General features: G+C 50.0%; 1 protein-coding gene across 22 annotated transcripts in view, besides 4 other annotated features; it reads left to right on the forward strand.

The window, feature by feature from the left end:
• Positions 3,478-4,439: an enhancer, noted in NCBI's record as "H3K27ac-H3K4me1 hESC enhancer chr17:76374619-76375580 (GRCh37/hg19 assembly coordinates)". NCBI's record gives its function as "activates a minimal SCP1, AML or CMV promoter by ChIP-STARR-seq in primed H9 embryonic stem cells {active_cell/tissue: H9 hESC(primed)}" and the evidence as "EXISTENCE:reporter gene assay evidence [ECO:0000049][PMID:30033119]".
• The window catches only part of PGS1 (phosphatidylglycerophosphate synthase 1), a 46,011-nt gene continuing 25,770 nt past the window's right edge, over positions 3,589-23,829 (forward strand). For 11 of the 22 annotated variants that reach the window (XR_007065546.1, XR_007065547.1, XR_001752683.2 and 8 more), the window contains exons 1-4: positions 3,589-4,179; positions 17,416-17,605; positions 21,248-21,325; positions 23,192-23,291. Coding sequence is in view for 15 of the 22 variants with exons in the window: in XM_017025357.2 (XP_016880846.1) it covers positions 3,767-4,179; positions 17,416-17,605; positions 21,248-21,325; positions 23,192-23,291 (781 nt within the window). In the remaining 7 variants the exon portion in view is untranslated. Of the gene's footprint in view, positions 4,180-7,588; positions 7,726-17,415; positions 17,606-21,247; positions 21,326-23,191; positions 23,292-23,829 lie in introns of those variants that run through there. The other 11 variants (XM_017025361.3, NM_024419.5, XM_047437103.1 and 8 more) reach the window with 6 other exon arrangements.
• Positions 3,635-3,874: a silencer, noted in NCBI's record as "silent region_9068". NCBI's record gives its function as "represses an Ori minimal core promoter by ATAC-STARR-seq in GM12878 lymphoblastoid cells {active_cell/tissue: GM12878}" and the evidence as "EXISTENCE:reporter gene assay evidence [ECO:0000049][PMID:35858748]".
• Positions 10,317-10,546: an enhancer, noted in NCBI's record as "active region_12893". NCBI's record gives its function as "activates an Ori minimal core promoter by ATAC-STARR-seq in GM12878 lymphoblastoid cells {active_cell/tissue: GM12878}" and the evidence as "EXISTENCE:reporter gene assay evidence [ECO:0000049][PMID:35858748]".
• Positions 13,490-13,699: an enhancer, noted in NCBI's record as "active region_12894". NCBI's record gives its function as "activates an Ori minimal core promoter by ATAC-STARR-seq in GM12878 lymphoblastoid cells {active_cell/tissue: GM12878}" and the evidence as "EXISTENCE:reporter gene assay evidence [ECO:0000049][PMID:35858748]".

Raw genomic sequence — 23,829 nt, forward strand, 5'->3', positions numbered from 1 at the left:
CTTGACGTCAACTCTCCCTCCAATGAATGGGTTTCCTTTTCCGTTTGGGAAGACATGGGATCTGCCGTCAATCCCGTCGACCCTGTCTTTCTAACCCTGGCACCTCCTGTCTGGGAAGGAGCGAGTGCGACTAACGAGAAGGCAGTGGGTGAGGGCAGGAGGGCGAGGGGGACTCAGAGGACAGATGTCTTCTCGCCCGCAGTCATTGAGATGGGCATCCAGAAACCCCATCCACAGCAGTAGTGTCTGACCCAGATTGAGAGCCGGCCACGCAGCTTTGGGACACCCTGAGTGCTCCCAGGCAGGCTCTCTGGGTCACCTTTGTTGTCTGGGAGGGTCTTATCTCCTCTACTTGTTTTCAGTAACTAGCCCAGATGAGACCTCCTGACACGAACAATGCATGTGCTGTCATCCTGTAAATGGAATCATTTAAAAATTGCACAATCTCTGAAAACCATTATTTAACATTTTTGCAACCTCAAAATGTATGTGTCCCCAGCAAAGTCGTGGTTGCCTCACTCTGGTGATAGCTCTGTCTGTTTTAAACTAGCCATGAAGGCCAGAGGCTCTCGATGTGTGGTTTCAGAAGGGACTGGGTCATTCCTTGATGTTATCCTTAGGGTAAATACTTATTAGTGTGACTTACCATGCTATCAATATTGCTGTCTGTTGCTAGCATTTCTTTAAGGTTGGGAATTCCCAGTGAGCCTGTACCATGGCTGTTTGTCTCAGTACCTCGCACAGCAAAGCACCCATGCAGAAAAGCTGCCAGCTCCTTCTAGGATGATAACCAGGCTCCCATAGCCCATGTGGCGCTCACCGCTGAGCATGACGGTGTAGCCATACAGCAAGTGTTTACTCTGCAACAACCGTGGGCCAGGAACAGTGCAAAAGTGGAACCATGCAATGGATGGCCTCATTCTAGTTACTGGAAGTTAGGAAATTTGATGATTCACCATTTCTAACTTGGAAGGGTTGAATCAAATTCCATGTAGTATTAGTAAAGCTATCTAAACGCAAAAGAAAACTTTAAGCCAATCTGAAATACTTGTTGATTGTCAACAATTTGGAAACTCCTTAATGGCACCAAATAACCAACATTAACATTTGGGGGTATTTACTTTCAGTCTTTCTGTGTACATACACGCATTTCCTCTTTCTTCCTCTCCTTTAATGAAATGAGATGGTCTCTACGCTACTCCTTGGTAATTTGGCTTTTACACTTAATGTCATTAAATATTCTTCCAGAACATGTTATTTTTATGATTGTGTGGTCTTCCAACATACCGATGTATCATTATTTAACCAACCCCCCTACCCTGAAGATTTGCTTCCACACTTCCGATATCATGAACAAGGCTGAGATGAACATTCTTGTGGGAATGTGTAGTTGATTTCCCTGCATAATCTGTGGAAGTGGACTTTGGAGTGTTTTTTTCAGTGTGTCCATATCTTTTTTTTTTGAGACTGAGTTTCGCTCTTGTTGCCCAGGCTGGAGTGCAATGGCGCGATCTCGACTCACTGCAACCTCCGCCTCCCGGGTTCAAGCGATTCTCCTGCCTCAGCCTTCCTGAGTAGCTAGGATTACAGGCATGTGCCACCATGCCCGTCTAATTTTGTATTTTTAGTAGAGACAGGGTTTCTCCATGTTGGTGAGGCTGGTCTCGAACTCCCGACCTCAGATGATCCGCCCGCCTCGGCCTCCCAAAGTGCTGGGATTACAGGTGTGAGCCACTGCGCCCGGCCCACGTGTCCATATCATTTTAACCTCACAACACGGCAGACTATGATTATGTCCTACAGCTTTTCCAGTTTCCAGGTCCCAGCCTATGTGGGTCAGCCAGGGAGCTGCATATTACAGATCAGAGATCACCTCTCCTGCCTTTCAGAATGCCACAAAGTTTTCCATTTTAAAATTAGCTGCAAAAAGTGTTCTTGGGCCGGGCGCGGTGGCTCACGCCTGTAATCCCAGCACTTTGGAAGGCCGAGTTGGGTGGATCACTTGAGGTCAGGAGTTTGAGACCAGCCTGGCCAACACGGTGAAACCCTGTCTCTACTAAAAATACAAAAATTAGCCAGGCGTGGTGGCGCACGCCTGTAATCCCAGCTATTCCGGAGGCTGAGACAGGAAAATCTCTTGATCCCAGGAGGCAGAGGTTGCAGTGAGCCAAGATTGCGCCATTGCACTCCAGCCTGGGTGACAAGAGTGAAACCCTGCCTCAAAAAAAAAAAAAAAAAAAAAGTGTTCTTGGTGTATGAGGATGTGCTCCGTCAGCTTTTTGGGCATAGAACTGTGTGTTGCCAGGGGCCAGTGATATCTGTGTACTTGGGCATATCAGGAGGGTGGAAGACTGTTCATCTCACACAGATTTGCTTAGGCTGTTCTGTGCCATGGAGCTGCAGCCTCTGGGGCTAACAGGGTGAAAAATGATTCCTCTCTCAGTCTGGTGGGGATTTTCCGTGGTTCTGTGCACCTTAGTGAGTCAGCGTTAACCAGGTTACAAGACTTTGTACAAGAACAGACTTTGTTCAAGTTTAACACCTTAGGGGTGTTGTACAAGTCTAAAGAACACCCTATCAATTAGAGCCTCAAACAGTAATTCCCTCACTTATCAGTGAGAAGTCCTTTTTTTTTTTTTTTTTTTTTTTTTTTGACGGAGTTTTGCTCTTGTTGCCCAGGCTGGAGTACAGTGGTTCGATCTTGGCTCACTGCAACCTCCACCTCCTGGGTTCAAGCGATTATCCTGCCTCAGCCTCCTGAGTAGTTTGGGATTACAGGCATGGGCCACTGCGCCCAGCTAATTTTTTGCATTTTTAGTAGAGACGGGGTTTCATCAGGTTGGCCAGGCTGGTCTCGAACTCCTGACTTCAGGTGATCCACCCGCCTCTGCCTCCCAGAGTGCAGGGATTACAGGCGTGAGCCACTGCGCCGGCCGAGGAGTCAATCTTGACAGCCAGTGGTCAGGCTCGGTGGCTCATGTCTGTAATGGCAACACTTTGGGAGGCTGAGGCTGGATGATCTCTTGAGCCCAGGAGCTCGAGACCGGCCTGGGCAACGTAGTGAGACCCCCATCTCGACAAAAAAGTAAAGAATTAGCCGGGCATGGTGGCACACGCACTTTGGTGGTCCCAGCACTTTGGGAGTGGTCCCAGCACTTTGAGAGGATCCCCTGAGGCCGGGAGGTCGAGGCTGCAATGCGCCAAGATCGCGCCACTGCACTCCAGCCTGGGACACAGACCGAGACTCTGTCTCAAAACAAACAAACAAAAGCTTTTTTGACAGCTGGTGAGTTGGAGCCAAGCGTGACGGTGCTAGAGCCCCTGCGCCGCATCCTTTCCTCCGCGACCTGTGACGAGTGACTGCAGGAATGCAGGCCACCTGGCGCCCTTACGGATTTAACGGGCCGGCTTCCGACCCCCTCCTGCGGCGCGACCACTGTTCCTCGCCTGTGTCCCCCAGAGGGGAAACTGAGGCTTGGGGGCGGTGCAGCGCCGCCCTCCCCGAGCCAGGGGTTCCGCGCCTGCGCGCCTGAGCCGTGTCCGCGCTCGCCTTTGTCAATAAAGTTCGCGCCCGCCGGGAGCGGAAGCGGAAGCGGCGAGTCTCCATGGCGGTGGCGGCGGCAGCTGCGGCGGGACCCGTGTTCTGGAGGCGACTGCTGGGCCTCCTGCCTGGCCGCCCAGGGCTGGCCGCGCTCCTGGGACGCCTGTCCGACCGCCTCGGCAGGAACCGGGACCGCCAGCGCAGGAGGTGAGAGGGGCGGCCGGGATGAGAGTGCAGCCCTCGCGGCTGCAGCCCGGCCCCCCGGCGCTCAAACTCCCGGCCCCAGCGTCCTGGGCATCCGCAGCGAGTCCCTCCCCGGTTTCCGGGCCCATTTCTGCCTCCCGGGGCTCGGCGCCTGACCTATGTGCTTCTTCACTGGCCTTCTTGAGGGAGGGTGGGCGGCTCGTGCTCCATTATCGGCCGGGTCCAGCCGGCGGGCCTCCTGCGCAGCCCGGCCAGTCCTTGCTCCCCGTCTACACCGTGCTTGTTGGCGAGCCCCGGCCACCGTGCACTTACACGTTAAAAGAGGGACTGTGTGTGCGTTCAGGGAGCTTCGGTCAAGCTCCAGAGGCTGTTTATATCATGGTTTCGGCCCCAGGATGTGAGTGTCGGAGAGTTCAGAGGGGTCTTTTCCTTAGGTAAGCCTGGCTGTGAGTGAATCACCGTTGCTGGGATTTTGTGTATAGAGCGTTTCTCACATCCTGCCAGAAAAAGCTGTGAAGCAATCCTTAGTAACACTCAGGCATGGGAAGAGGAGCCACTCGAAACACTTTTTACACATTTCAAAGGGCCTGTGTTCTGGAAAAGTACTGAAGTTATGTAAATGATGAAGTAGGCTTTGGAGCAATTTGTTCAGGCAGTGGTCTTTTAAAATAAACATTTGCCAAGAACATGCTGACCTGAGGCTTGCTAATATTAAAAAAAAGGGGATAAATAATTCTTGGCCGGGTGTGGTGGCTCACGCCTGTAATTCCAGCACTTTGGGAGGCCGAGGCAGGTGGATCACCTGAGGTCAGGAGTTTAAGACCAGCCTGACCAACATGGTGAAACCGTCTCTACTAAAAATACAAAATTAGCTGGGCATGGTGGTGCATGGCTGTAATCCCAGCTACTTGGGAGGCTGACCCTGAGGCAGGAGAATCGCTTGAACCCAGGAGGTGGAGTTTGCAGTGAGCCAAGATTGCCTCATTGCACTCCAGCCTAGGCAACAAGAGCAAAACTCTGTTTCAAAAAAAAAAAATTCTCTTGTGTGCAAATAGTTTTCTTTTCTTTTCTTTTTTTTTTGAGACGGAGTTTCACTCGTTGCCCAGACTGGAGTGCAATGGCGCAATCTTGGCTCACCTCAATCTCCACCTTCCAGGTTCAAGCGATTCTCCTGCCTCAGCCTCCCGAGTAGCTGGGATTACAGACATAAGCCACCACACCCGGCTAATTTTGTATTTTTAGTAGAGACAGGGTTTTTCCATGTTGGTCAGGCTGGTCTCTAACTCCCAGCCTCAGTTGATCCACCTGCCTCGGCCTCCCAAAGTGCTGGGATTACAGGCGTGAGCCACCGTGCCCGGCTGCAAATAGGTTTCTTAATTGAGTCTTACACTTGATCTTTAAAAAAAAAAATCTTAGAACTGCTTCCTTTAGTTGAGGTTGCATTGTGTTAGATTTTCTATCTGTACGTGTACTCCTCGGGTGAGATTTGACCTCCTGGGGTCAGACATCTAGTACAGAGATCTGGGGTCCAGTCATGTGTACTGATTCTAGGTACAGAAAAGAGCTTGCTTCATGGTGATCTATGGTGGAAGATTTTCATCGAAAACTCAAGTTTGATTTAGGGGAATTTTTAGGTGATAGAATCAGGGCAGGATGGCGCTCTTGGAAACCTGCTAGGTTTCACGTTGGTGAACCCAGCAGGACTGGGGCTGTAAAAGAAATGGCCTCTGCATTTTTTGCATTTTCATTTTTTCAGTGTTTAACAAAAGACCTGCTCATCTCTGGGTGACGAAGTCAGATGACTTCTACGTCCTGGCATCAAACCACTGAGATTTGGTTTACAGTTTCAAAAAAATGTTCTACCCTTGAAGACAAGATTTAGGTGACTTTGTCATTTCCCTCTATATGTTTAAACTATATGAAAAACACTTCATTATAAATCATTGTTCAACATTGGAATTGATTACTAAAGGATGTTGGGGCAGTTGACACAAATATTTTAAAAAAGAAATCTCTCATGAGTGTGCTTTTTTTCTTTTTCTTTTTCTTTTTTTTTTTGAGACAGAGTCTTGTTCTGTCACTCAGGCTGGAGTGCAGTGGTCTGATCTCGGCTCAGTGCAACCTCTACCTCGTGGGTTCAAGTGATTCTCCTGCCTCAGCCTCCAGAGTAGCTGGGTCTACAGACACATGCCACCACGTCCGGCTAATTTTTGTATCTTTAGTAGAGACAGGGTTTCACCATGTTGGCCAGGCTGGCCTCGATCTCCTGACCTTGTAACCTGCCCACCTCGGCCTCCCACAGTGCTGGGATTACAGGTGTGAGCCACTGCGCCCAGCCACTTTTTTGTTTTTTGGTGGTGGGAGGGGCAGTGTGGCAGTGGAGATAGTCTAAATTGACTTTCTAATCTCTTTTTTTTGTAAATTGTGTGAGTGGATGCAGTTTGTGTGCCTTCATCCTTCATTAAGCTGAGAGAGATGATTGTTTCTCTGGGACAACAGTTCAACCAGCAACTCAGTTTCTTGGGCATTAAGACAGAAGTTTTTGCTTTGTAATCCTCGGAAATAATGCCTATGGTAGGACTGAGGATAAATGCTTTGACCGGTATTGAGTGGTAGTGTAGGTTTCTGAGCCTTTCTTTGCCTTATTCGGTTTGCAGTTCTTTTCTGATTCGTTGTGGCCTTGGTGTTCGAGTTATTCATGTTTGTTGTGGCTGCTTACCCTTTATTAGCTGCTGACTTTGCTTTCTTCTCCATTATTCAGTTGCACCTCCCAATTTCTCATTCCCCGAATGATGTGGTTTCTTGTAACTCGCTGATCATTGATTCATTGATAATAGTTCTGTGCAGTCATGAGCTTGAATTATTTTAGGTTTTAGCTTGTCGATCTGAGTCAGCTGTTGGAGGGCCAGTGAACCCTCGTGAGGGGACGTTCCTTTTACTGCCGCGGTTTCCTTTCAGGCATAGAGACAGCCAGAGAGACAGAGAACTCTACTTAAAATTACTTCTGTTAATGATTTAGAAGCACTGTCATTTCCTCTTAAGCTAGCATCTGACTCATTATCATTAGGAACTGCTGGATCCGTTAATTTATTCATCATGTGTGTATTGAGCACTGCTGTGCTGTGCTAGGTACTCAGGAAGCAAAGATAAAGACACAGCCCCACCTCCAAGACGCTCAGACCCATAAACAATTACAAGAAGTAGGTAGAAGGTCATGGCAGTACCTTGGAGAGGTCATGGAAGGCTTCCTGGTGCAGTGGCTCAGAGCTGTTTTGAAGGAGGGGTCGGAGTAGTTAGGCTCGGTGAAGAAGAGGGGGAGTGGATGTTCAAGAAGTGATAGTGACATGGACTGCAGCGAAAGGCAATTCTGAGGTCCCACCAATACTGAAACCATTTCCAGGAGCTGACTAGGGGTACCGAGTAGGGGATGGAGGGAGGGAAGAAGAGGAGCTAGGAGCAAGCCAGTCTGGGCCAGAGACCCAGGAAGACAAGTTCTGAGATTCCATGTATGATTTCTTTTGATTCTGGTTCAGCCTGAGATGGTGGGGGCTTTTATATGAAGTCGGGGCAGTGGGAGCAGAAAAGAGGGCTGAGTGAGAATCAGTCTTGATGGGGCACATGGATGTTGGTACATTTCACGAAAACGGAGTAAAGAAGAGGCTCAGGTTTTGGGGATGATGGTAAAGTGCATTTGGGTTATGTTAATCAGTATCCAGGTTCCTCTAGGTGATGTGTTCAGTGTCCAGTTGACTGTGGCAGAACTGGAGCTCAGGAGAGGGAGACAGATGCTTCAGATAGGGTTTTTTTGAGTCATCCGGCTACACAGAATGGTTTTTTTTTTTTTTTTTTTTTTTTGAGATGGAGTCCCACTCTGTCGCCCAGGCTGGAGTGCAATGGCACGATCTCGGCTCACTGCAAGCTCCGCCTCCCGGGTTCAAGCGATTCTCCTGCCTCAGCCTCCGGAGTAGCTGGGAATACAGGTGCCCGCCACCACCCCCGGCTAATTTTTTTTTGTAATTTTAGTAGAGACGGGGTTTCACCATGTTAGCTAGGATGGTCTCGATCTCCTGACCTCGTGATCCCCCCGCCTCGGCCTCCCAAAGTGCTGGGATTATAGGCGTGAGCCACCGTGCCCGGCCCACAGAATGGCCTTGTTACTTGGAGTAGATGAGACCAAGTGGGAAATGTATCATGAAGGCATTAGTTCCTAATCTTGAACTTGCCTACTATACAAGGAAATATTTATCTGTGGCTTACTTTTTTTCCTTTTTAAACTATTTTTAAGTTTTAGCTATACATGCAGAATCATCTTTATGTTTGAAACTTTTTCACAATTTGAGGAGCTTGTGAGTGTGTGTGTTGGATGGGTTAGGGGTTCTTAACTTCTCTGAGTTATAAGAGGGAAACAGGTGTCCAGCAGATTGTTTTCAATTAGATTTTCTTTCCTTTTTTTTTTTTTGAGACGGAGTTTCACTCTTGATGCCCAGGCTGAGGTGCCGCAACCTCTGCCTCCTGGCTTCAAGCGATTCTCCTGCCTCAGCCTCTCGAGTAGCTGGGATTACAGGCATGTGCCACCACGCCCATCTAATTTTGTATTTTTAGTAGAGACGCGGTTTCTCCATGTTGGTCAGGCTGGTTTTGAACTCCTGACCTCAGGTGGTCCGCCCACCTCAGCCTCCCAAAGTGCTGGGATTACAGGGGTGAGCCACCGTGCCCGGCCTAGACTTTCTTACATTGTAGTGGCAGGTCACTTGTTCAACGTGTAAGTAGTTTTTACTCTGAGGGACCACCAGATTTCCAGAAGTTACTTTTCTTTGAACTTTGTGATGGGATTCGGTCTTCCTTACTCTTCAGAGTTTAGTATAACCATCTCTTCGTTTGTTTATAGCAGTATAATGGCTGGGAAGGGGATATTTAGAATCAAAGCATAGTTTTGCCAAATAATTCAGATTTGATTTTGCAGTGAATTAAAAGATTTACAACGGACTGACTTTCTCAATTGTAGCTTTAAGTGAATATTAATGTGAGTATCCCTGAGCACGTTATAGTTGGTGATGAATTAGACTCAATCAGTTGTCTGCTGGTAGGCAAATAGAACCCAGCCTGGGATTAAAATGGTCTGAATGATAATCCCTTTGTAATAGCGTGATCTGATTTATGTAAACGGGTCGATTTTGAGGGTGCTGGGAGTCAGGCTGACTGAAGCCCTTTGGAGTCATAGAACATGCGATTGGTTCTCGTCAGGCACTTTGATGTGCCTGGTGCATTTGGCCACCCAGGCTGTATTGTGGGTTATAAATATATTTTGGATTTCTGGCCCCCAATGTAATCGACTTCCTTTTGGCTAAGCCAAGGGGAGAGTCATCTAGTCAGCATGTAGCTGCATGCTGGCAGCCTGGGCCTCTCGTGCCGGACTTGTTATGGGAGTTCAGCAGGCCGTTGGTCTTTTGTAACCTACGGGAATCCACACTCATTTCCCTTACTCGGGGTTAGGTCTTGCATTAGTCAGGAAGGGCCGCCTGCTGCCAGGGTTGCAGGAAGTACGGTACCTTCTTGTAGTTTCTGGAGCCTTTCTCAGGAAGTGTTATGACTGTTGCTTTTTCTCATCAGTTCACTTTTTTACATTTAAATATCTGTGACTGAGAGGGTAGGGTGAGTTGTTCTCAAAAAGTAGTTTCTGAAAATATTGCAATCCAGAGAGCTCAGTTTCTTTTAAAAACTTCTTTTTTCATGGTTTTGTACAGATTTGGATGGGCTCCAGGCCACAGAGTCTGTACCGTGAATGTACCTTACGGTTAAAGAAGGGCCCCTGGACCTTCAGACCACGCCTCTGAGGGACACTGAATTACCGACCTGTGTTTGGTATGGAGAGCGCAACTTCTGCCCTGTTCAGTGAGGACAGCCCTCCAGCTTTACCGTACTCTTTCATCAAAGTCCTACATACCCTGTTTTGAAAAAACCCCAAGAAGTTGGCCTGTTACATGTGTCCCATTGGTAGTGGGTGACAGTCAGTACTGCAGCTCTAGGGGGAAACACGTGTTCTCTGACACCGGGAGAAGATGTGGAAGGGACGTCTAAAGGTGCAGTGTAGACCGCGGTGTAATTCCCTGGTGTTTGCTTGTCTTCAGTGGCATCCCTTCTCTGAGAAGCGGGCGCCCGGTAGGGCCTCCAGGCGCTGTTGACACGCGCTGAGGAGAAAGGCGAGGGGTGCCAGTGTTTTCCATGAAGCAGAGCACGCGCAGCTGCAGAACGGTGAAGTGGAAAACCGTCTCCTCCAAAAGGGAGAAATGCCTTCTGTTTTCCCCAGGTTTCTTTCTTTCTTTCTTTTTCTGAGATGGAGTCTTGCTCTGTCGCCCAGGCTGGAGTGCAGTGGCGCAATCTCGGCTCACTGCAACCTCTGCCTCCTGGGTTCAAGCCATTTTCGTGCCTCAACCTCCCAAGTAGCTGGGATTGCAGGTGCCTGCTACCATGCCCGGCTAATTTTTGTATTTTTTTTTTTTTGAGATGGAGTCTCGTACTTTCGCCCAGGTCAGAGTGCAGTGGCATGATCTTGCCTCACTACAAGCTCTGCCTGCCGAGTTCATGCCATTCTCCTGCCTCAGCCTCCCGAGTAGCTGGGACTGCAGGTGCCTGCCACCAGGCCCGGCTAATTTTTTGTAATTTTTAGTAGAGATGGGGTTTCACCATGTTAGCCAGGATGGTCTCGATCTCCTGACGTCGTGATCCGCCTGCTTCGGCCTCCCAAAGTGTTGGGATTACAGGCGTGAGCCGCTGTGCCTGGCCTAATTTTTGTATTTTTAGTAGAGATGGGGTTTCACTGTGTTGGCCAGGCTGGTCTTGAACTCCTGACCTCATCATCTGCCTGCTCGGCCTCTGAAAGTGCTGGGATTACAGCCGTGAGCCACTGTGCCCGGCCCCCGGGTTTCTTTTGTAAACAGGTGTGTTCCATAGCTTCTCAGCTGCTTCCTGCTCTCACTGTTTCAGTTTGGCTGATTATTGTGAGCTCAGTTCCCACTGAGGCCTCTCATGGGGGCAAGTGTGTGCAGGGCGCGTTGTCCTGCCTGGGGCTGCCTGGGTGGCTAAGCAGGCTTCCCTCTCCTTGCTTGGTGGCGGCCTCAGTCCTGGCTCGCCGCTTGGTCAGAGCGGTTCAGATGTGGGTCTTCCTCAAGATGATGGGAAGAAACTTTCCTCCCCTCCCCAAGGCACCCTGCTGAGGACCTCTCTCAGTCAGGGGTCCTCAGCACTTAGGCCCAGCCCATTCCTCAGTTCAGGGAATTTGCCTGCAGATTCCACGGGAAGCCTTAAATCAGGTGACTGAACCTTTCTCCTGAGTCAGGCTTCCTGGGGTGGTGGCTGGAGCCGGGCCACGGGCTGGTCCTCTGAGAAGATGCTGGTCTCATTTCACCTTTAGAGTGGCAGGCTGAGGATTGTTTTGCATTGTCTGTCATTTGTTTTGGTTGTTGCTGAGGTTGGTGTGGTGATGTAGTACGGCTGGTTTGATTTTGAATGCTGGAGCACTGGTGCTAGGGGATATCACTGGCTCTTGCCCTGGTCCTGCTCTCTAAACTTCTCCAATATTCCAGGGTAAAGGAGTGGCCTTCAGAGAGGCAAGGGTGGCAGAAGGTTATTATCTGACTCCCCAGCCCCCACCACTTCCTCCTTCCCATAACTAGAACTGGGCGCTAGATGGTGTCTAGAAAGAGATGATTCAGGGGAGCCCAGGTCTTGATGTGGAAATTGTGTGTGTACTGGTTTAGTTCTCTAAATGGTGAATGTGACATGTAACTAGACTTTTTTGGTAAAATAACCACAGCCTCTGCCTCCTCACGTCTCTTGGGGCTTTGGGACTGGGCCATGTGCTTTCTTGGTAAGTAAGCCTCCCTGGGATGGGGGAATTGAGCTTGCGCAGGTGGTCAGCCCCTGGAGGCTGGGATTATTATGCAGTGGGGGCTGCTTTAGCATGGGGATAAACCTTTTCTGAGCAAATTCCCAGGAGTTACATTGTGGAAAGCCGGGAACTGACCCCCATGGGGTTCTGTCTGATGTGAAAGAAAAAAATAGGTCCCTGAGCAGCGAGCAGTATAGTTTCAGAGCAAGAACTGGCTCCTTCTGTCCTGGCTGATGTGTTGCAGTTAGATGGTGATGATGGTGATGATGATGATGATGATGATGATGGTGATGATGGTGATGATGATGATGATGGTGATGATGATTAGCATTTTTGAGACACAGTCTCTCTCCATCACGCAGCCTGGAGTGCAGTGGTGTGACCTCTGCAACCTCCATCTTCCAGGTTCAACCAATTCTCCTGACTCAGCCTCCCGAGTAGCTGGGACTATAGGCGTGCGCCACCATGCCCAGCTAATTTTTGTATTTTTAGTAGAGATGGGGTTTTGCCATGTTGGCTAGGCTGGTCTCGATCTCCTGGCCTCAGGTGATCTGACTGTGCAGGCCTACCAAAATGTTGGGATTACAGGTGAGAGCCACTGCGCCCAGCCTTTTTTTTTTTTGAGACGGAGTTTTTCCTCTTGTTGCCCAGGCTGGTGCACAGTGGCGCGATCTGGGCTCACTGCAACCTCCGCCTCCCGGGTTCAAGTGAGTCTCCTTCCTCAGCCTCCCGAGTAGCTGGGATTACAGGCATGTGCCACCAGGCCCGGCTAATTTTGTATTTTTAGTAGAGATGGGGTTTCTCCATGTTGGTCAGGCTGGTCTTGAACTCCTGACCTCAGGTGATATGCCCGCCTTGGCCTCCCAAAGTGTTGGGATTACAGGTGTGAGCCATCGCGCCCAGCCTTTTTTTTTTTTTTTTTTTGAGGTGGAGTTTCGCTCTGTCGCCCAGGCTGGAGTGCAGTGGCACAATCTTGGCTCACTGCAGCTTCGAACACCTGGGTTTAAGCAGTCTTCCTGCCTCAGCCTCCCTGGTAGCTGGGACTACAGGTGCACGCCACCATGCCTGGCTAACTTTTAATTTTTCTAGAGAGGGGGTTTCTCTATGTTGCCCAAGTTGGTCTCGATCTCCTGGCCTCAAGTGATCCTCCTGCCTCAGCCTCCTAAAGCACTGGGATTATAGGCACATGCTACCGTGCCTGGCCATTTAGTTTTTTTGAGTGACACTAGTCCAGATGTGGTCTCCTTGGCATATGTTGTCATTGTGGCGACCTGTGTAAAACACTCAGCTCCTTTTTTATGCACCTTCCTTTTTTGGGTATTTAAAATTGCCACTTGAAGGTTGAGTCTCCTCCATAATGTATCCATGAAACGTAGTTGGCTTTCAGCTCCTTTTCCTCTCTAACAAAAATAAACCTGTCAGTACACAGATTAAACAGGAAGCCAGCATAAAAAAGCCTTCAAGAACTCTTGGCCTGAGGCCCTCGTGGAACATTCCCAGTGAGAGCTGCCTGGTAAGGAGGAGACCTGCCTAGGATAACTCCAGGGGCTCTGGGCTCATCAGCCCTGTACCTGCCAAAGTGGGTCTCCGCAGGTAGGACGGAGGTGATAGGTGAACCCTGACACCTGTGTAGGCTCTGTGTATGTGTGTTTTCTCTGGACTACTGAGGCCCTCTTGGGTTTTTCTGCTGAAAGTGGTCTTGTTCCTGTTTCTTTCTTTCTGCACTTGACCTCTAGGGTCACGCGATCGTCCCCCTCAATCTCCCGAGTAGCTGGGACTACAGGCACATGCCTCCACGCCTGGCTAATTTTTTTTTTTTATTTTTTATTTTTTGTAGAGACAGGGTCTTGCTATGTTGCCTAGGCTGGTCTGGAGCTCCTGGTGTCAAGTGATTCTCCTGCCTTAGACTCCAGAGTGCTGGGATTACAAGTGTGAGCCACTGCACCCAGCCCAGTTTCTTCTGCTTACGTCCCTTCACACTTCCTGCCTGAAACACCCTCCCCTCTGAGTTCCTTGTTTGAATCCTACCAGCTTTTTGAGGCCACTGGAGGAGAATGCTGCAGAACCTTCCCAGTAGCCCAGGCATCACCAGTTCCCCTTTTTGATGCCTTGAAGCACATGCACTATTTGGACATTGATTTAATTTTAGCATCTTTTCTTGTGTTCTTAGATGATGTCAGGTGTGTAAGTCTGTGAGGCTACCAAGGTTGTGGGAGGCAGAGACTGCCTGGTTCTTCATTTGTACCCTCCATGGTATGTCATATGTGCTTACATGATGGCTTTGTTGAGGGTTAAGTTGAACAAGTTGAACTTGCCCTCTCCTGGGTTGCTATGTGCCAAGGAGTGTTTCCTCTTCTTCCTTTTTTTTTTTTTTTTTTTTTTGCGGGGGGACAGAGTCTTCCTCTCTCACCCAGGTTGGAGTGCAATGGTGTGATCTCGGCTCACTGCAACCTCTGGCGCCCAGGTTCAAGCAGTTCTGCCTCAGCCACGGGCGGCTAATTTTTTTTTTTTGAGACGGAGTGTCGCTCTGTTGCCTAGGCTGGAGTGCAGCGGCAGCATCTCAGCTCACTGCAACCTCCGCCTCCCAGTTCGAGTGATTCTTCTGCCTCAGCCTCCTGAGTAGCTGGGACTACAGGTGTGTGCGCCACCATGCCCGGCTAATTTTTGTATTTTTAGAGAGACAGGGTTTCACCATATTGGCCAGGCTGTTCTCGAACTGCTAACCTCATGATCTGCCCGCCTTGGCCTCCCAAAGTGCTGAGATTACAAGCATGAGCCACCATGCCCGGCCCAATTTTTGTATTTTTAGTAGAGGCGGGGTTTCATCGTGTTGGCCAGGCTGGTCTTGGACTCCTGACCTCAGGTGATCCACCTGCCTCGGCCTCCCAAAGTACTGGAATTATAGGCGTGAGCCACCGTGCTCGGCCCCTTTTTTTTTGAGACGAAGTCTCACTCTGTCACTCAGGCTGGCATGCAGTGGTGCAATCTTGGCTCACTGCAACCTCCGCCTCCTGGGTTCAAGCGATTCTCCTGCTTCAGCCTTCCAAGTAGCTGGGATTACAGGCATGTACCACCACACCCAACTAATTTTTTTGTGTTTTTAGTAGAGACGGGGTTTCACCATATTGGCCAGGCTGGTTTTGAACTCCTGACCTCAAGTTTTCTTCCCGCCTTGGCCTCCCAAAGTGCTAAGATTATAGGCATGAGCCACTGTGCTGGGCTGCGGCTCTCAGCTTCTTTGAAGGCCGCGTGTGGACTGACCACATGACCTGGAGCAGTACAGCGGCACCTGATTTTTGGATGGTCTGAGAGATGGCAGAAATGCTGTGAGGCAGGGGAGACATTGATTTTATGCTGCTGTTGCCTGTTCCCCCGCCCCCGACCATGTTTCATTAGTGAATATGAGACTCTAGGCCCCTTGGGGCCTCGGGTTGATGGGTTGCTGTGCACCTTTCCCATTGTCCGGTGGTTTCTGCTGCACTGAAGGGTCCTTCGCTCTCCTCTCTTGAGCTTTGCAGGAGGGTGGCCCAGGATTTGGGAAACCCAGGCAGCGAGCCCTGCGTTACACATCTAGGCCCTTCATCTGCAAGCTGATGCCTGTGAGTGTCATCACCCCCTCTAGAGACGGGGGTGGGGGAGGAACAGCTGTTTCCCACCTCTGCACTGGGTGGCCACGGCCAGTCGCAGACTTCCAGGATCCACAGAGGCAGCACCTTCTGCTGTTGACTAAGGTTTTCTTGGCAGTGAATCGGCAGTGACAGACCGGTGGGCTTTCTGGGAAGTGCAGCTGTGGGCCATCTGTTGTCTGTGCAGGGACATTTACGAAGCCTGGGAAGATTGAGGGCTTTATCATGAAGCAAGTGAGTGAAATCATCTTCCTGGAATTTGTGGCCATTCAGGCCTTGGGATGTTTGAGCATCCTCTCCCCCACGTCCCTCTTGAGGTCACACACTGAAGAGGATTTTCCTGCTGCTGTTTGCAGGACTAGGATTCATAGTAGGTCAGGTCTGTGTGGGGCTCTGGGTGTGCGGTCCCTCCACCCCCATCTCCCGCAGGTTTTTAGTCATTGAGCAGCAGAAATGAAGTTCTGTGGGCAGAAATTCATCTCCTTCAGCCTTGGCCTCAGTGGAGTGTGGAGTCCGCTGGGGTGCAGCTTTATGTGGTCGAGCTAACACTGGCCAGAAATGGTGTGTGACCCCACCAAACAGGATGTGTCTGATGGTGAATGAGTATGGCTCATCATCACTCTTTTTTTTTTCTTCTTTGAGATGGAGTCTTGCTCTGTTGCCCAGGCTGGAGTGCAGTGGCACCATCTCAGCTCACTGCAATCTCCGCCTCCCAGGTTTAAGCGATTCTCCTGCCTCAGGCTCCTGAGTAGTTGGGATAACAGGCATCTGCATCATGCCCGGCTAATTTTTTTGTATTTTTATTTTTAGTAGAGATGGGGTTTCACCATGTTGGCTAGGCTTATCTTGAACTACTGACCTCAGGTAATCTGCACGCCTCGGCCTCCCAAAGTGGTGGGATTACAGGCGTGAGCCACCGTGCGCGGCCACGGCTCATCATCACTCTTGAGAGGAGCTCATTTGCTCCCGTCTCTCCCTGCTCCAGCTTTTCTTTCCGAGTCTGATTTTGATTGATTGAGACAGGGTCTCGCTGTGCCACCCAGGCTGGAATGCAATGGCATGATCATAGCTGGGAGAACAGCCTTGAACTCTTGGGCTCAGGAGATCCTCCTGCCTCAGCCTCTTGAGTAGCTGGGACTACAGGTTTGTGCTACCATGCCCAGGTAACTTTTTTTTGAGACAGAGTCTCGTTCTGTCACCCAGGCTGGGGTGCAGTGGTGCGATCTCGCCTCACTGCAACCTCCACCTCCCTGGTTCAAGCAATTCTCCTGCCTTAGCCTCCCAAGTAGCTGGGACTACAGTCACATACCACCACGCCCGGCTAATTTTTGTATTTTTAGTAGAGAGGGGGTTTCACCATATTGGTCAGGCTAGTCTCAAACACCTGACCTTAGGTTGTCTACCTGCCTCGGCCTCCCAAAGTGCTGGGATTACAGGTGTGAGCCACTGCACCCAGCCTGCCCAGCTAATTTTAAACAATTTTTTGTAGACACTGGGTCCTGCTATATTGCTCAGGCTGGTCCTGAGCTCCTTGACTCAAGCATTCGTCCTGCCTTGGCCTCCCAAAGTGCTAGGATTATAGGCCTGAGCCACCATGCTCGGCATAAATTGGATTTTTAAAGAGAAAAGTTTCTTTTTCTGGGTGCTTCCTTGAATAGAAATCTTGTTTATCTCATGAGTCATAAAGCGGGGCATCTGGGCTGTAATCATCAGACTTCTGCCAGACTTACCCTTCTGCTAGGTGTCTTTTAGTGGTGGCTGCAGGCAAATATTTTTGAGGTAGATTCATTAGAACGTTGCCATGTGGTAGCTAACCATGTGGTAGCTTTTATGAGTTTACTTGTGGATGCTCTAAATTTGGTTCCTGAGTTGTTTGGAATTAAAGTTTGGGATTTATCTATAGGTATTGACACTTCTCAAGTTGCTCAGTTAGTAGGCTCTTTAAGGAATAAGAGGAAAGGGGGCTGAAGGAAAAATCCTTTAGCAGAGCTTGAGTTGGGCTCACTTTTTAAAATGTTCTAGAAAATCTGACATTCATAACACAAGCAACGCACCCATCTCCCAGCCCCTCTTCACTCCCCAGTAACTGAGGGGGGCTTCTGCAGAAGTATTTGAGGTATTTGAGGTGTGACCCAGTTGCATATTTCTTTAACCAGGTCACCATGGCTGTTATTGGCTCCCTTGCTGTCCCCAGCTGTTCCCCAGGTCACCTCCCCACCTTGCTGCCTGTGTCCAGAAGGCGTGCACCGGTTCCAGTGGATCAGAAACCTGGTTCCAGAATTTGGAGTCTCCAGTTCTCACGTTAGGGTGCTTTCTTCCCCGGCAGAGTTTTTCGAGCTCATGAAGGTAAGTGGTATCTAAAGGAAAGAAGTTTGAGTTAGAGCTTTTGGGGGATCAGGTTGGTGAGTCCTGAGTGCTTTCTAGTCTAGAAACTTTGGATAGCTGCTCAAGCTTATTCCTTCTGGGTTTTACCTGTCAGGTTTCAGCTTCATAGATGGTTGAGCTGAGCCACAGTCAGAAACTTGCCTGTGGGGCCAGCGTCTCAGGTGGAGAAGCTCTGAGAAGGCAACAGTGAGAACAAGGACCTAGACCTTATTTTTATTTACTAATTTTGTTATTTTTGAGAAGGGGGTCTCACTATGTTACCCAGATGGGTCTTGAACCACTGGGCTCAAGTGATCCCCCTGCCTCGGCCTCCCAAAGTACTGGCCACTGTGTGCGGCCACGGGCCTAGACTTCGATTCTTTTTTTTTTTTTTTGAGATGGAGTCTCGCTCTGTCACCCAGGCTAGAGTGCAGTGGCTCAATCTTGGCTCACTGCAAGCTCCGCCTCTCGGGTTCACGCCATTCTCCTGCCTCAGCCTCCCGCATAGCTGGGACTACAGGCGCCTGCCACCACGCCCAGCTAATTTTTTGTATTTTTAGTAGAGATGGGGTTTCACTGTGTTAGCCAGGATGGTCTCGATCTCCTGACCTCGTGATCCACCCGCCTCGGCCTCCCAAAGTGCTGGGATTACAGGCATGAGCCACCGCGCCCGGCCTAGACTTTGATTCTTATGGGCGCACTGATTCCTTTTCCTCCATGGTGAAGTTGTGGACCACGGGAAGGGAGGTTGGTGAGGACTGAGGACCCGTGGGTCACATGGGTATGTCCTTGCTAAAGGTGACAGGGGAGGAGGGCATCTTTATCTAGTCTGTGTATGATGGACCCCTAACCCGGGAATCATCTCCAAACACAGTAGTGTCATCTTGGTAGATGTAGTAGGAAGTAAAAACTCGTGGGTGCGATTTGATATGCATGAAGAGGCCTTTCAAAGTAACTGGGAATCTAGACATCCTGGGTCTAAGGCTTGTAGTCTTGGTTCTTTAGGGACTCTGTCTTAAGTGTGTGCCTTTCCTCTCCTGGTAGTGATGTAAGTTTTGCATTTGGGGGGTTCAGCTTTCAACATGTTACTCAGGTTTACATGCCACATCTGGTTATTCTGGTTAAACTGCTCATTGGAATGAACACTAATCAACACTGATTTTTAACAGCATGAACTCTGAGTTTGTATTAGCAGTGATATTAGAATGAAGGTCTAGGCCAGGCGTGGTGGGGCCTATGCCTGTAATCCCAGCACTTTGGGAGGCTGAGGCCGGTGGATCACCTGAGGTCAGGAGTTCGAGAACAGCCTCGTCAACGTGGTGAAACCCTGTCTCTACCAAAAATACGGAAGGGTGGCACACACCTGTGGTCCTAGCTAGTCAGGAGGCTGAGGCAGGAGAATCGCTTGAACCCGGGAGGTGGAGGTTGCAGTAAGCCAAGATCGCGCCATTGCACTCCAGCCTGGGCAACAGAGCGAGACTCTATCTCCCAAAAAAAAAAAAAAAAAAAAAAAAAAGAATGAAGGTCTGATGGGGCCAGGCAAGCAGGTAGAATGCTGAGAGACAATAGGAAATCTGGGTAGAGACTCCCCTTTCACCTTTGTGCAGAAAATGAACTCACTCATTTGAGTGCCTGCCCATTTTCTCTCCTTTTGCGCTTTTGTTCTGTTTGTTGATCCACGCTTAGCTTGACTGGCTCATTCAGAGTGCATTCTTTGTGTGCACACAGGCGTGTCCTTTTGTTCTCCCCTCTCACCTGCCTCCCTGCTCTGCTCACCTGTCCTTGTTTGTACCGAATGATGCTGCAACTGTTGGCTCTTTGCTCCTAATTGATTTTCTCCTTGGCTTGAAGAAACAGGTTTTTCTTTTCTTTTCTTTTCTTTTTTTTTTAAGACGGAGTTTCGCTCTCGTTGCCCAGGCTGGAGTGCAATGGCACGATCTCGGCTCATCACAACCTCTGCCTCCTGGGTTCAAGTGATTCTCCTGCCTCAGCCTCCTTAGTAGCTGGGATTACAGGCATGCACCACCATGCCTGGCTAATTTTATATTTTTAGTAGAGACAGGGTTTCTCCATGTTGGCCAGGCTGGTCTCGAACTCCCGACTTCAGGTGATCCGCCTACCTCGGCCTCCCAAAGTGCTGGGATTACAGGCATTAGCCACCGTGCCCAGCCTGAAGAAACAGGTTTTTCAAAGGCAGTTTTCTCTGTCCTAATTGACTCTGGGAGGATGACTGACTGTCTCCACATAGTGATCCCCTGGCCAGGAGGTCGGGCCCTGCCTGAGGAGGGTGGGCTTGCAGAGAGCAGGAAGGGGCAGAGAGGCTTGCCTCAGCAGGCCGAGAAGACCCCAGGGCCTCCTTTCCCTGCCATCTGGGCTGAAGTGTGGGCAGATTCTTCTGGTTTGTGTCACACCGAGTAGCACGTGTTTCTTCCCAGGGCGCACAGCGAGAAGGGAGGACAGTGCTGGTTTCTGCCTGGTCCCCATGTCTTCATTATAGCTGTGGGGCCTGGTGTCCTGTAGTAAACAGTCAGATATGCTTCGGTTGCCTGAACTAAATTGTCTTATGCCTTATTTATTTTTTCCCTTTCTTTATAATCATCACCCCCACAAACATCTGTTTTAATTGGTAACAAAACAAAGGAAATAGCAACCTTGGGAAGTTGCTTTGTTTTTTCCTTGTCCGGAAGCCTTTCCTAGTGATTGTTCATGTTTCTGTCTAGTCAAGTTGCCTGTCTTCCTGTGTTGACAATGCAGGGTGGGCTGTGTTGTTCCTTCTCATAGGGAAGCAGGTAGATGTGAAGCTGCCTCCCTCTCACCTGGGTCTCCTATGTATCTTTTGGGGGTTTGACCTATGGTAGCACTGCCATTCTTTGTACCCCTGCCTCCTTCTCTGGGGTGGAGCTGCTAGGGAGAGGCCCCCTGGCTGTTAGGACTGATTTGGGGTATCATCTTGGGGCACTGATGTGTTCTGCTCATGTGTCTATATACCTGTCCATCTATGTTTCAAGAGTGATTCGTGCCCAGTATGGACATTGGAAACTGCAGATGGGTAGAAGGTAAAGAGGGCAGGTTTGAGACAGAATCTTGCTCTGTTGCCCAGGCTGGAGTGCAGTGGTGTGATCACAGCTCATTGCAACCTCTGCCTCCTGGGTTCAAGTGACTCTTCTGCCTCAGCCTCCCAGGTAGCTGGGATTACAGGCACGCGCCACCATGGCGTGGCTAATCTTTATGTTTTTAGTAGAGACAGGGTTTCGCCATGTTGGCCAGGCTGGTCTCAAACTCCTGGCTTCAAGTGATCTGCCTGCCTCGGCCTCCGAAAGTGCTGGGATTATAGGCGTGAGCCACTACACCCAGCCTGCCTTCATTCTTCTTAATGGCCGTGTTGCATTTTATAGTTGGCCTAGACTGAGCTTTACTTTTCAGGCTGAGTATTTTCATTTAGGATTGTGGGACCTTATTTGGGAGGTTACCATACACGTTTCGAGCTTGCTTTAAATATTAATTGGTGAAGACATAGGATAGTTCAGCTTGGAGTGGGATTTGCCTCCCAGGTCAAAGGGTTCTGTTTTCTTAGTGAACCATGAAAATGATGAATTTGAATTTTGAATTTTTCTCCTCTCTCAGGGGCAGATAAGAGTAGCCAAGAGGCGGGTCGTGATGGCATCCCTCTACCTGGGGACAGGTCCTTTGGAACAGGAGCTGGTAAGGTTTATGGGGAGATGGTTGTGGCAGCAATAGTGAATGGGCCCCAACATGCCACAGCTTTTTGTGCCATGCAGTTGGTGTGGAGCTGCCTTTCCTTGGCCTCCATGTCAGAGCCAGCTCTTGTTTTTGTTGCCCCAGATATGGGCATGTCAGGAGGGCCTGGTGAGGAGAGCATGGGGGAGGGCCTGGTGAGGAGAGCTTGAAGAGGTCTGGTCTGGGCCTTCTAGGCCTCACTGGCAGTGTCCTCCTACCCACACAGGGCCCCAGGCAGCTCTGTCTGCCAGTTCAGGGCTTGGCCGACTGTGGCCTGCCACCTGTTATGGTGTAGACTGTGAGCTAAGAAAGAATGGTTTTTACATTTTCAAATAATTGGGGAAGAGAAAAAATAATATTTTGTGACTTATGAAAACTTTAAATTTCTGTATTGGTAAACAAACTTTTGTTGGAACACAGCCACACTCATTCATTTGTGTATTGTCTGTGGTCACTTTCATGCTGCAGTGGCAGAACGGGGTAGTTGTGACAGTGCCCATTTGGCCCGTAAAGCTCCAAATATTTACTCTCTGGCCGTTTACACAAAAGGCTTTCTGACCCTGTACTAGACAAACGGACCTGAGTGCAAGTTGGGCTGGCTGGCTCGTTCTGCCAAGGGCTGGTGTCAAGTGCCAGGGCTGCGGCCAGCCTTGTTTCCCTCGGACTTGCTGTTGTGCCACACTTGTCACTTACAGTGAGATAGGTGGGTGGGAAGGAGCCAGCAGTCACCAGGTTTATATGAGGTGTTGGGGCCAGCGCAGGTTCTGGTGCATGGCGGGATCTGAGGCTCAGCTGAAGTGAGTCTGTGAATGAGATCACTGCTTTCTCTTGGGTCTCCTGGGATTGCTTTCCGCTCGGTATAGTGAAACAGACGGGCCCATTGCCCAGAGTTAGTGCCGTTTCTTGGTCTGTCCTTGTTCAGAGTTACTGGTGGGAGCTATAGGGATTGGAGTGTGGAGAGGGAGGTGCAGTGGGTTCACACCTCCCCTTTCTGCCTCTCCTAGGAAGGAGGCCTCCCTCTTTTTTTTTTTTGAGACGGAGTTTTGCTCTTGTTGCCCAGGCTGGAGTGCAATGGCGCGATCTCGGCTTGCCGCAACCTCCGCCTCCTGGGTTGAAGCGATTCTCCTGTCTCAGCCTCCCGAGTAGTTGGGATTACAGGCATGCGCCACCCCCCCAGCTAATTTTGTATTTTTAGTAGAGACGGGGTTTCTCCATGTTGGTCAGGCTGGTCTTAAACTCCTGACCTTGGGTGATGTGCCCACCTTGGCCTCCCAAAGTGCTGGGATTAGAGGCCTGAGCCACTGCGCCCGGCCGCCTCCCTCTATTTTTAGGATATACCCTCCACTCCAAGCCTGGAAGCCTGTGTGTTCTCATGGGAGAAGAATGGAATGTCCGCACTGCGGAGAGTGGCCAGTGGGCAGGCCGTGTCTTGGATTCATTCATCTGCCAAATATTTACTAAGCACTCTTTACGAGGAGGGCACTGTTGGTTGTGTCTGTGAGGATTGTCTGTGTTGAAATGTACGTGAGACCTGGTGTCGTAGCGTTTCCAGGGTGGCACGGGCTGGCTGTCAGGCAGCACGCCTCTGCCTGCAGGTCCCTTTCCATTCCTGGAGGCCTGGGCCGATCAGGCCCCTGGGTGCTTCTTCTGATGATCATGAAGGTGCTCTCAGACAGATAGCTTTTGTGGTGTTGGTGTCCGAGTGCTGATGGCACAAACCTATCTTTGGAGAAGATGACGAGGGCACTAGCCGATGGGGCGATTTGTTTTTCTTTAAATACACACACCTCTTTGGGTCTTAATCTTCTTTTCTGTGTTCTTTCTTGGTAGGTGGACTGCCTGGAAAGTACTCTAGAAAAGTCACTCCAAGCAAAGTTTCCTTCAAATCTCAAGGTCTCCATTCTCTTAGACTTCACGCGGGGCTCACGAGGTAGGTGGCATGCAAGCCTGGCCCCTCCTGCTTCCTGTGTCAGATCCTCAGTCCCAAGAGGGGTTACTGTCACCCCCTCATCCCCAGGCAGAGTCAAGGCTATTTGAAGATCATCCAAGCTGGCCCAGGGCTGCCTGATTGTGTGAGTTAGGATTTTTTTCTTCAGCAAGTGACTGAAAGCCCAACTAAAAACAGCTTAGGCAGGAGCCGAGTGCAGTGGCATGCCCTGTAGTCCCACTTGCGTGGGAGGCTGAGGTGGGAGGATTGCTTGAGCCAGGAGTTTGAGTCCAGCCTGGGCAACATAGCCAGACTTTGTCTCATGAAAAACTGCCTTAGGCAAAAAGACTTTTTGTGGACTCCTGTGACTGATCTGCTTTGGGTGGCTTGTGATTTGGGGTTTGGCCGTGTCACCAGGATTCATCCCCTAGCTGTTTCCTTTGGGCTGGCTTCCTTCTCAGGCTCTGTGTGGTGGCCCCTGGTGGCTTAGGCTTGTCTCCCCATGACACCTTGTCTTTTGGAAGAGTCTGATTCCATGAGA

This window comes from Homo sapiens, chromosome 17 (assembly GCF_000001405.40).
Source record: "Homo sapiens chromosome 17, GRCh38.p14 Primary Assembly".
Lineage (NCBI taxonomy): Eukaryota > Metazoa > Chordata > Mammalia > Primates > Hominidae > Homo > Homo sapiens.